Source organism: Homo sapiens, chromosome 2 (assembly GCF_000001405.40).
Source record: "Homo sapiens chromosome 2, GRCh38.p14 Primary Assembly".
In the NCBI taxonomy this organism is placed as follows: domain Eukaryota; kingdom Metazoa; phylum Chordata; class Mammalia; order Primates; family Hominidae; genus Homo; species Homo sapiens.
Genome location: NC_000002.12, coordinates 235512467 through 235525611, shown reverse-complemented (window position 1 = coordinate 235525611; position 13145 = coordinate 235512467). Strand labels below are relative to the sequence as shown.

Sequence of the window (13145 nt, the reverse complement as noted above, 5' to 3'; positions counted from 1 at the left end):
TCCTCCACATTATGTGTCAGTCCTCTACTTTATAAATCAGTCCTCTACTTTATAAATCAGTCCTCTACTTTATAAATCAGTCCTCCACATTATGTATCAGTCCTCCACATTATGTATCAGTCCTCCACGTTATGTATCAGTCCTCCACGTTATGTATCAGTCCTCCACATTATGTATCAGTCCTCTACTTTATAAATCAGTCCTCCACATTATGTGTCAGTCCTCTACTTTATAAATCAGTCCTCCACATTATGTATCAGTCCTCCACATTATGTATTAGTCCTCCACATTATGTATCAGTCCTCCACATTATGTATCAGTCCTCCACATTATGTATCAGTCCTCCACATTATGTGTCAGTCCTCCACTTTATAAATCAGTCCTCTTTTTCTCGTATTGGAGACATTTGCTTAAGATCATATCAATATCTCCAGTTTCAAAAGAGGCACCGACATACAATACAAATTTAACATTAAACAGTTACTGCCCCAAAAAAGAGAAAGTAAATGAAAGTAATCAATCTCAATTTTCTGTTGTAAATTTCACGCCTGCCTCATGTACTAACCGTAAGAAATTTAACCCTGACATTTTAAGGTGACATTCAGATTCTGCAGACTAAGGAGGAACACATGATATATTTTAAAGCTTTTCTTAATTGAAAAATCCTATTTTGCAACAGAGACATTTTACCTAGAATCTGCACAAAGAATTAGTTTTTCTAGAATTTAATAACTAGCTGGTGAGCAATATCCAACAATCGGCCCAAGAAGACATCTGTTCACTGAAGAGTTTCTCTCCTCACCCCTACCCCCACTAATTATGTTTGGGTCCAAGACAAGCCAATGAGTTCCCTAAAAGAAAGGGACGAGGTCCCTAAAAGAGAGGGGTGATGTGTTACCTGCCATCAGGTTTTCTCTTGGACACAGGGTCCCTTCCTCGCTGGGCAGCAGGAGCTGTTGTTAGGCATCCTCTCCAGCGGTAAGCATGTTTTCCTACTTTATAGGAGGGAGCAACTCATCCATGTGGGGAAGGCATGGTGGGCGGGCAGTAGTGGGGTGGGGGTTATACTTACCCATGGGGGCTGGGTGCAGCCCCGTGGCCTGTCTTCTCACAGCAAGGACAAGCAACTGCCCATCGCATCCACTGCTCTCTCCAGATTCTCAGCTCAAAGGCTCTAAACTTGCCCCCACTGTCAGGCTGTGCAAAAATATCACACAGGACAGTACACTTTCACTCCCACCACACTGTGGCCTGCTAACCACCCTGTCCTGTTCCTGCCAAACCGGATAAGAAGGCAGGACTAAAAGTTACATCTGGGCCACAGTGGACCATGCTGTCCCCAGCCTCACTCTGGCGTGACCCTACTCGCTCTGGGCAGGACTTCTGATCACAGCCCAAGTCCCTGGGTGTTGCTGGGTTCCAAGGACAGCCAGATGCCAGGAGACAATGGTGGCCCACGGACGCCCGTGGTAAGAATACACATCAGCATTTCCGATGGAGCGTCTACAGTGACACAGCCCTTTCCACAGTCCCATGGAACTCAGCAAATGCCTGTCGTCATCCCCACTGGAAGGATGGGGAAGCCGGGCACAATCCCACACCCTGGCCAGGTCACAGGGTGGTGAGTGGGCCATTCAACCCAAGGCCACCGCCCCCGGCCTCATCCGTGCAGGGTCATCCCTACTGGAGGGATGAGGAGGCACGCTGCAATCCCATACCCTGGTCAGGTCACAGGGTGGTGAGTGAGCCATTCAATCCAAGACCACCGTCCCCCTGCTACGTCCAAGCAGGGTCACTCCCACTGGAAGGGCAGGGAAGCAGATGCAATCCCACACCCTGGCCAGGTCACACGGTGGTCAGTCGGCCTTTCGACCCAAGGCCACCTGACCACTGGCCACCACCCCCCGCCATGTCTGTGCAGCCTCCCCTGCAGACACCCATTCCCACCCCACTCCCTGACTGGTAACACCTGCCATTTCATCCCTGGGTGGGATAAAGCCTTACTCAAAATCAGCTTTTCACAGTGAGGACCACTAAGGGCTGGGAGGGAGCTTAGCGGACAGCACGTACCATGACATGGGCACAGGAACCTGCACCAAGCAGCTGACCCTGCCAGGCACCATCCATCAAGTCCTAGGCCTTGACTCAGGCACCGATGGGAAGCAGTCCCTTTCAAAATTCACAACAATCACCATGCAGCACAGGTGAGCAAAGCCTAGATCCCCACAGGGAAGGAAACATTTTCTCCCCAAGAGCCTCCTGGGGCTCCAGCTGAAGAACTGCACCCTCACCCTGTTATGGGCTGAATGCATGTGTCCCCCTGAATCTGTATGCTGAAGCCCTAAACCCCACTGTGATGTCATGAGGAAGTGGGGCCTCTGGGAGGTGATCAGGTTTAGATGAGGTCATGGCCGTGAGGAGCATGATGGGATCAGTGTCCTTACAGGAAGAGGAAGAGACCAGCCTTTCTCTCTCTCTCTCCACCATGAGAGGCCACAGCGAGAAGGCAGCCGTGTGTAAGCCAGGAAGAGAGCCCTCACCGGAGCCTGCCCTCACTGGCTCCCTCATCTTGGACTCCCAACCGCCAGAACTGCGAGACATAAACGACTATTGTTGAAGCCACTCAGTCTTAGGTGTTTTGCTACAGTAGCCCCAGCTAAGACATCCTGGTGGCATGTCACCCACATGACATCCACCATGCCAACTGCCAAACCCAGGAGATATCAGAAGGATCTATCCTTCTCCTCTTCTGCCCACAGGTTGCCCAGAAATGCAGGACAAATCGCTCTAACAGTACCAAACAGATATCACCATAAAGGTCAGCTTTCCAGCCTTGCAGAGAAAACAGGCTCAGGCACAAAGGCCAAGACATCCTCCCTTACTCCCATCTTGCTTGTCTTTCCCACTCAGCCATCTTCACACAACTTTCAGCCTCCCCTCTGCCTTGTGGCCAGCCTCTTCATCGGCATCACCCCGTCCCTGCAATCGCTCCCTCATCAGGGCCAGTATTGTCCAAACACTCATCAAGCTCAAGTCTCTCCCAACCAAAAACCTGGCCTTCCTCATGAGCCGTCTTCCTTCCCTCCCCAGCTTGGCTTCTCCAGGGTGTCTCCCATTCTCTTGCGTCCTCTCCTTCCTCACTTCCACCATCACCACCATCACGCCTCCTATGAACCATGAGATTGGTATTATCAAGACCCCACAGATACAGAGAGGCTGAGCGTCTTACGGAGGAGAGGTACCTCAGAGCTGGTACAGACAGAAGCCCAGGAGGTCTAAGTCCAATGTGCCCACTCCTTACCACCTTTTTACCAAAACCAGTGGCCTATTCAAATCCTCAACCGACGTGACATTCTCACCAGTCCATCTGGACTCCCTGTCCACAGCTCCAGCTTCTAACAGAGCCTGGCCCAGGTCGGGCACACGAACAATGTTTACTGACGTTTAAGGAACTGCCAGGAAGCCTCATCACCCCTAAACAGACTCTAAGCCTCTTGAGGAAATGTTCTATGCTTCTCAGAGCCCAGTCAGCCTCTAGGAACCAAAAAGACTGCACATCCTGATTACATCCGATGTATTCAAAAACCAAGCTGTGCCTCTCTGGCAAACATCCAATAGTTTGACAGCACCCTGTTGGGAAAGAGGCACTCACGTATATTGCTGGTGGCACACTTATTATGGATGGGAATTTGGCAACCTTTAGCGAAACTACATGCACATTACCCTTTTGACTTAGCAATCCTCCTTTCTAGGCATCTATCCCAAAAATACATTGACAAGAAATAAGAAAAAGATAGACGTAGACTATACAGCACTATTTTTCAATAGCAACACACACACACACACACACACACACACACACACACACATATATATAACAAACAAAAACAAGAAACTGGATCGATCCCAACGTCTATTAATAAGAGACCTGTTAATAAATTGGGAACAGTTTCACAATGAGGCCTGTTCTGGAGCCCACACTATGGAGTGGTTTCCAGAACATGTTCCTAAGTTAAAAAGGCAAACGAAAAACAGTGCATGGGAAGCTACCTGTATCCAAGCAGGAGGTTATATAAGTACCCATTCGCATGTATTTGCTTATATTTAAAAGAGACAAGTATAAACAATACTTATTAAAAAATAGTTATAGGTGAAGAGAAGACGACAAGGTGAAAAAGTGACAAAGAGAGAGTCTTTGAATTTATCTTTAAGAATCAAAGCCAGGACTCTTAGAATTTATTTTGATGATGTGACATTGGTTCCACACAAATATGTTAACTAGTTATATAACTATTTCCCTAAAAATTGAAAATAAAGAAATGTATCTAAGTACACCTCCACCAGGATAGAAGAGTCACAGAGAAGACCAATTCCATGTGATTTAAAACACAATAACTGGAGTTTATCACCGAAAGTGAGATACACCCTAAAGAGGAAAAGCAATTTGCAGCACGTTGAACTCATTCTGGTGGTCACACTGTTGGAAGCTCTGCTGGAGCTGTCTTCTGAGAATTGTATGGGGAAGCCCAAAGCAAATGAGGAATTATGTTCGTGTCCCTGAGAACCGTGACTGCTAGAGAGATGACCAATGTACCACATGAGCCTGGGGCATCTGTCCATCTTTATCTTTCCTGTGACATCAGAAATCCAGGAAGTGGTCAATGTCATGTCAAGAGAACACAGAAGGCTTCCTGAAATGCTTCCACACGCAGAAGATGGGATCACTGGAGCATCCATAACAGCTTTCACCGCAATGCACCATGTACATTTAATCCAGAGAGTTCACAATGATCTAAAACTAATTAGTCAATTTTAAACGGAGTCTACTAAACCAAAACTTGTTATTTTTACGATTAGTAAATAAAGAGGGTTATCTTGCCTTTCCTACATGACCCGAAAGGTACTCTTCATAGAATTATCTCATCTTAAACAAATAACAGCAAAAAAAATAATGAGAGAATTATAAAATCATCATTTTGCAACCTCTGACGAGCTAACTGGTCCCGACTGCTAACGTGGGCAAAAGGACAAATAGAAGGTGGGATCCTCCTGATGAACCACACAGACCCGCCCAGAAAGGAGTCCAACCAAACCAAACAAAAGCTAAAAACCTAAACAAGCCTCCAAACACCCACTAATTTATAGGAAAATACAGGAGACAAAGGAGCACGCTGACTGACTCCAAGGGGAGGCATTCGAAACAAACACAGGCCCCGGGAAGGAGAGAAAGACGGTCATGGAACCTACTCATTGGAGGAGTTTCAGAAGAAGTCTCCACCAACTGCAACGTGCACACAGTATTTGATCCTGATTCCAACAGGCAAACTGAAGGGAAAAGTTATGGTAATCATGAGACAACTGGAAATGTGGGCACAGACTGGATATTTGACCATATTAAGGAACTGTTCATTTTCTAAAGTGTGGTAATGTGGTCATGTGTGCTTTAAGTTTTCATCTTTTAGAGATAGATACTGAAGTATTTACGGATGAAATGGCAGGGTGTCTGGAATTCACTTCAAAATAATATTGAGGCCGGGCCTGGTGGCTCATGCCTATAATCCCAGCACATTGGGAGGCCGAGGCAGGCGAATCACCTGAGGTCAGTAGTTCGAAACCAGCCTGGACATGGTGAAACCCCATCCCTATTAAAAATACAAAAAAATTAGCCAGGTGTGGTGGTGGGCACCTGTAATCCCAGCTACTCAGGAGGCTGAGGCAGGAGAATCGCTTGAACCCAGGAGGTGGAGGTTGCAGTGAACTGAGATCATGCCATTGCACTCGAGCCTGGGCCACAAGAGCAAGACTCCGTCTCAAAAAAATAAATAATGATAATAATAATATTGGTAGGTGGCAGGGTATATACAGGATGAACTAATTACTGAAGCTGGTTGAGGGTACACAGGAGATCATTACGCTTATTCTACATACATATATGTGTGTTTGGATTTTTTGGTAAGCTCTAGAAAATAATACTTAGCTCAAAAAATTCAAGCCTAAATGTTTCTTCTGCCTTTGTTCACTATGCACACACAACACATATACACATACACACAAGAAAATATGTGTTATATCAGTATATAGAAAATTCTGTATTTTCTATGCTTATTACACCTTCTTCCAGAGAGGTGAGAAATGAATTATCACTCAATACTCTTAGTCTCAAATTCTGACACCTATATATCAGGAATTATATCTTCAAATTCCTGGGAGGATTAAACCAATTAATAAATATAAACTAGGGCCATGTGCGGTGGCTCATGACTGTAACCCCAGCAACTCGGGAGGCCATAGTGGGAGGATCACTTGAGGCATTCAAGACCAGCCTGGGCAACACAGCAAGACCCTGCCTGTCTCTACAAAAATAATAAAGAATTAGCCAGGTGTGGTGGTGTGCGCCTGTAGTCCTAGCTACCTGGGAGGCTGAGGTGGGAGGATTGCTTGAGCCCAGGAGTTTGAGGTTATGGTGAGCTACGATTGTGGCACTGTACTCCACCCTGGGCAACAGAGTGAGACCCTGTCTCATAAATAAACACATACACACACACCAAATGATATGATTCTTGTCACATAACCTGCAAATTGCTGTTGTGAATAGTACTCGTTTCAGATAATGTTGAGGTCTGCTCTGACCCTTCTGCTGTTCCCAAACAGTGTGAAGCCAACTGGCCGCAGCCTCCTGTTGCTGCCCCTGCCACTGAGGCCCAAGGACAGGAGACTCTTCCGCTGCAGGAGCAGCGGGCATTCACGAAGTGCACCCGCGAGGCAAGCCTGCCAGTCAAGATGTGAAGTTTAACCTGAGGACATGCAGCTGCTGTTAGCTATGCCACCATCCCTCTGGCTTATGAGATAGAAAGTTATTATTACTTTGAGGATTAAAAAAGTTATATCCAAGCATTAATTTTTTTTGTTTGTGTGCAGGTGGAGACTGTTTTCTTACTAAAATATTCAAAACACCATGTCACTCTCCTTTCTCTTTGTCCTATGGCAGAAAACACCAGCTGAAGAGACATTTGCAAAGCTCCGTGCCCCTCCCAAGGCTGACGGTGGGAAACAGCTGGCACCCAGTGACCTGCAGCTTCCGCCCTGGCTCTTTGTCAGAAACAGAGGAAATCCAAGGAATTTCTATGAAACCAATTGCAGGGTGGGGCACACGCATCATCACAAAAAGTCTCAGAAGAGGCAATTTGAGAGGTAAGGAATTTGGTTGATTGCCAATTTTATTTCTGTCACTTTTTATATTCTTTATGAAAAACCTTTATAAAAGCATTCAGAGATCACTGTCAGTGGAGGAGAAAGAGAAGTCAAAGGCATCTGGTTGCCCAAAGCTGGGTTTTGAGATTCCTGATAAGCATCCAATCAATCAAACAGTGTAAACAGCTCCACTGTCTTCACGTGGATTAAACACCAGAGTTACAGAAACAACACAGTGAAACCAATGCAGCAGAACAGTCGTCTTCGGGCAAAGGAGAGATGGGCACAGCCCTTATGCACTTTCTCTAAGAAAGCATTTCCAGCTCTCAGGTTAGGGTCCCTGCGCTGCACCTTCGGAGGCTGGGCCTGCCTGAGCTTCCACCTCTCACCTGCAAATGGGGGCAAGAACCCCAACTGAGGCAAGCCGGGACTCAGACCTCAATGGCAACTATGAGTTCTACCTTTTTTTTTTCTTTTTTTTTTTTTTTGAAACGGAGTCTCACTCTGTCACCCAGGCTGGAGTGCAGAGGCACAATCTTGGCTCACTCCAACACTTCCCGGGTTCAAGAGATTCTCCTGCCTCAGCCTCCCGTGTAGCTGGGGTTACAGGCACACGCCACCATGTCTGACTAATTTTTGTATTTTTAGTAGAAACGGGGTTTCACCATGTTGGCCAGGCTGGTCTCGAACTCCTGACCTCAAGTGATCTGTCTGCCTCGGCCTCCCAGAGTGCTGGGATTACAGGTGTGAGCCACTGCATCTGGCCCAGGCTTCTTTTTAAATCAAGTTTTAATTTTTTTCATAATCTAGTTTATATTTTAAAAACATGACTTTGATCTAAACAAGTTCTTTTACATTTTTTTACAAAGTAAAGAGGATCTCCTGCCTCATGGCTGCTACTTCTTTCCAGTAAAAATTAGTCCCTGCGACCTCAATTAAAATAAAATTACCATAAAGATCTACGTTGGGCACAGCTATGTCGTCAAAGCCCTGCTCTGGGTTAAGTGACGAAACACTCGTGATGCTACTACATCAGTGACAAATCCTCAGAAACCACCAGGGAGGGAGGGATGCTGTACGGACTGCGCAGTATCCCCCAAATTCCTCTGCAGAGGCTCACACCCCAAGGTGACTGTCGCTGGAGATAAGGTCTTTAAGGAGGCAATCATGGTAATATGGCAGCTTAAGGGTGGGACCCTCATCCAACAAGACTGGTGTCCTCCTGAGAACGGAAAAACACTGAAGACCACACACACGGAAAAGACCAGGTGAGGCACAGAATGGGAAGAAGCCAAACCTGCCAGTGCCTTGATCATGGACTCTCAACCTCCAGAACTGTGAGAAAATACGTTTGGGCCTCCCAGTCTGTGGTATTTTGTCGTGGCAGCCCGAGCTGACTAACGTAGGCGCCAAGCCCCTCCAGAGCCACGTGGCACCCGTGGCTGATCAGCCTGCCATGCTGGCAGATCTACCCTGTAGGGCCAAAAATGCTTCTACCTGCAACTGCCCATCAATAACATCTGCATGGCTGTTTGCAGAGGGCAACCAAAGAAGAAAGTTCAGTCCCACTGCACCAACCCAGCTGATGGAACAGAGTCCCACATGGCACTCTCCTAAACTGGGCAGCGACGCCACTTACTTCCAGAATACAGGGAAGATTCTGAAGCCTGCCGGGGAGCTGAGTGGACCCGCATGCACTCACTCATCCACTCCACAGGCATTTGTCCCAGGGTCTCCAGGTATGATGGGAAGCCAGGGTGCACAGGGCCAGAGGCGACAAACACATTCCTGCCGGGTCCCAGAGAACGGAGGCTGGCCAGGAATACGGGCGGCATGAACTACGCTCAGGCTGCAGGTGCCAAGCACTTACACTTGTTTCCTTTGGAGTAAAGCTAGAGGAAACAGAGGCTCCAAATTCAAAAGGCTTTCCTGAAAGCACACAGCTAGAAAGAAGCTGCACCAGACTTCACTTGAGGACTCTTCTTAGACATGACATATACTGCCTCTCAACAAGCAGCTGTACTGTGGAGGAGAAAGTAGAAAAGTGCCACAAGAGATTTAAAAAAAATAATAATAATGCTCCTGGGCCTGAGACAGGGAAGGAGTACAGCATTTCTGTTTTATTTCTGGGGGCTGGGGAGCAGAGCAGAACATTCAGGAAAGACATTCATTCTGCAAGCATTTACTGGGGATATACTATTCGCCAGGCATGCATGTAAAAGAGGAGCCACGTGCCCAGAGGGATGGGAAGACAGCACGTTCCAACCATGAAGTCGGGGAGCAGAAGGAAGCACAGGTGAGGGAGAGTCCATGGGAACTGGCGGGCCAGCAGCAGCAGCAGCAGCAGCAGCAGCAGCAGCAGCAGAGGAGCCCATGCGGCAGGAACAGGAGCCCATACCTGAGCACTGAGGCACCCAGCCACCTGTCACGATACTCGGAGGACTGGGCTACAGAGGCCGCACACCCCAGCAACCAACTTCTCCCCGCTCCTAGCAGGCCCTTAAGTCGCTGTTGCTGAGCTCCCCTCACCCCCTTAAATATCTCTTTCCCACCAAGATGCAAAAGGCAACACCATCCTCTAGCATTTGCCCAGCTCTGTGCGTGTTTAATTTCCTTACTATTTGCAAGAAGTCATTCAAAATGTTGACAGCATCTTAACAGTTTGCACATGATATATCTGCACATCTTACAGGTTAGCATCCGTGTCAAAAGTCACCAATGAACACATTACAATCTCTCCATTTCCATTCTCTTTTAAAGGCTGCAGAATGTCTGGTTCAACACTAAGCAGACTTTTTTCCGCAAAATTACAAGGAAACACTGAACAAGGGCAGATGCACAAAATGATACCCATGACGCCTGACAAACAACTCCGTGTTGACAGAACAGCTCGAGGCCCTTCCCCATTCCAGTGGATCAGCGCTGTTATTGCCAGCTCAGTATCTACGCCCCTGTCTTTCAGAGAACCTTTTCAGTGTTCCTTTGAGGACCTGCCCTGCTCTTCTCTCTGCTGCCACTCTGATGAGGCTGTCCATGAAAGGCCTCCCCTGGCCAAGAAGTGGCAGAATCTGGGCCAATAAACCACTCTCCAGGCAACCCAAGCAGTGCCCTAAATACACAGGCAGCCTGTGCCTGTCCCCTGGGCCCATGGTTCAGTCCATCCCAACGCCTCTATGCTCAAAGCCACCCCCACATCCTTCGAATAAAATCCATGTCTGCTTGAGTCAGCCAGAATGGGATTCTCATGTTTCCAACCAAGGACCCAAAGAGTCAACTTACCACAGTGCCCAGCTTGAAGGGTAAACAAGTTCTGACAGTTCTAAAAGGCAAAGACCATCTGCTTAAGGCAAACATTACCTAAATTTAAGGACTTTTTTAATGCCCTAAATTCTGATGGCAACTCCCAAAGAAAAGATTCCCAAAATGGTGGCCATGGCAACCTCAATGGCCTGAGTATACAAGCTCCCCAACTGACCAATACGGCTGCAGGCCCCTTCTCTGGGACATGAGTCATTGAACATCTGATCTAAACACCAGGTATGTTCCTTGTTGCTACACAGACTGTGCCCTACAAGCCAGAGTCCATCCCGCCTCCCTCATGCAGTTAAGCTCCATGGAGCTCTCACCACGTGTCCAGTCCTGGATGAGACACCGGGGTTTGGTTCCTGAGCACCTTGAGCCCATGCTGGGGAGAGACGTGCAGCCCACGTCACAGCAAAGTGCACAGGCCACCAGGTGGCAGGCCCTGGAATCGCCAGCAGGAGCCATCGGAATGGCCTTGGGGAAGCAGGACTCCTGAGCTGGGTTGTGAAGGCATCAGGTGGGTTAAAAGAGGCTTGCCAAGGGGCAGGACTCAGGTGATCCAAACCCCCAGGCAGGGCCCCAGACAGAGGAAGTGGCCTGCCAGGAACTGTGAGCCTGGCTGACGGTATCCTCCACAGCGAAGGTGCCACAGGTGGGGTGAGACCAGGCTGGAGAGCAGGCAGGGCCACGGCAAAGGGCCTGGGAGCCCAGCGAGGCAACTCCATTTCCATTTCTTTACTTCCTCCATGACTCCTTCTAAAAAGGCTTAAGGGTGAGGCCAAGGAATTTCAACTTCATTCTAAAAGCCCTAGTGAGCTATTTAAAGGCTTAAGCAGGTTGAGGTCTGGGTAAATTTATATTTTGGGATCTATTTATGGGTTAACCCAGCTGTCAAACATGAATTGCCACATCAACATTCTCTGAGAGGAGGTATGTGTGTGTGTGTGTGTGTGTGCGCGCGCGCACGCGCATGCACTGGCACACACCAAGGTGAGACTCGGGGAAATCGCCTGTGCTCAGTCACGTAAATACAGATACATGTGTTCTGTACACATAAACACCCACAGGAAAGATACAGGGGAACGCACAACCTCATCACAAAGCATCTCAACAGGAGCCTGGGAGTTATCAAACTGTTAAAACTTGAAAAGCTACAAAATCGCCCTTTATTTGGAAGAGCTCAATCATTCTCGGGAGGGTTCAGCGTGGGGGTGCTGTGTGTTGTTGGGTCTTCAGATTTTTTAACTAAGAAAGGACTCCAACCTCATGGACATCATAACGGCAAACCAGTTTCAATGCTTCTAGACCCCATCAAGCACAGCTGGGTGGTCCTCTATCTGCCAGCCAGAAATGCACCCAATGGAACAGTCCAGGCTCCAGGATTTGGTTCACCCACTGCTCCCCATGCCATGGCACCTGGATTGGGAGTGCCCAAAGCCATAGTACCCAAAGTGTGGCACCAAAATGGCAGCAGCAGCCTTGCCAGGGGGCTCGTCATGAAGTTCCCAGGCCTCACCCGCCACCCACTGAATCAGAACTTCTGGGGGTGGAGCCCAGTGATCTGCATTTCTTTTTTTTTTTTTTTTTTTTTTTTTCTGAGACGGAGTCTTGCTCTGCCGCCCAGGCTGGAGTACAGTGGCGCGATCTCAGTTCGCTGCGACCTCTGCCTCCTGGGTTCAAGGGATTCTCCTGCCTCAACCTCCCAAATAGCTGGGATTATAGGCGCCTGCCACCACTACTGGCTAATTTTTGTATTTTTAGTAGAGACGGGGTTTCACCATGTTGGCCATGCTGGTCTCTAACTCCTGACTTCAAGCAATCTGCCCGCCTCAGCCTCCCAAAGTGTTGGGATTACAGGCATGAGCCACCCGCGCCCGGCACAGTGATCTGCATTTTAACCCACCCTCAGTTAAAACGTGACCTGAGGTGATCCTGACGCAGGCTAAAGTCTGAGACACTGATCTCAAACCTTTAAGACCATTTAGCAGCAAGAAAAAGCTAGAGAAGCCACATCTGAACTAGAAAACACAAAGGGGCCCAATGAAAGTGCAAACTAGATTTTCTCAAAAATGACCAGAACTGCCATGAAATGAACTGGTCAGGATAAACTTGACCAGAACCAGGAGTGCCCAGTTCTAAACAGATGCTGCCAGAGGAATCTCAAGTGCAGAGGGCCTAGGCCGGCCGGGAGCCCTGCACGAGCATTAATGGCACAGTGTATTTTTTATAACATCCAAAGCACTTAAAAGAATAATATTTTCACTCATGTATCTCAACAACTTCCTGGAGAGGAAGGCAAAGGGCAGATTCTCTGGCTGGCGCAAAGGTTACATGGTCAGGAGGGACCCAGGAGCCACTGAGCAGAGGCAGGCAGGGTGGGAGGCCCAGGGAGCTTATCACCTACCTCCAGCTCAGATGCCTTTGCCCAGCTGCCCACCCCATGGCAAATCCTAACAGGGAAATCAAGGCAGGAATGGGGGAGGACGCGCATGGATTGACTGATTGATTGATTGACTGATTTTTAATGATAGGGTCTCACTCTGTTGCCCAGGTTGGAGGGTAGTGGTGCAATCATGGCTCACTGCAGCCTCAACCTCCTAGGCTCAAGCAATCCTCTCACCTCAGCCTCCTGAGCAGCTGGGACCATAGGC

General features: G+C 48.2%; 1 protein-coding gene and 1 long non-coding RNA gene across 4 annotated transcripts in view; one reads left to right on the top strand and one right to left on the bottom strand.

Moving 5' to 3' along the window:
- The window catches only part of AGAP1 (ArfGAP with GTPase domain, ankyrin repeat and PH domain 1), a 637751-nt gene that overhangs the window by 606182 nt on the left and 18424 nt on the right, over positions 1-13145 (bottom strand). The gene's annotated exons all lie outside the window — the stretch shown is intronic.
- TNRC17 (trinucleotide repeat containing 17) lies at positions 7691-11872 on the top strand. Its single transcript, NR_146582.1, has one exon. It is a non-coding gene; the product is annotated as a trinucleotide repeat containing 17 (long non-coding RNA).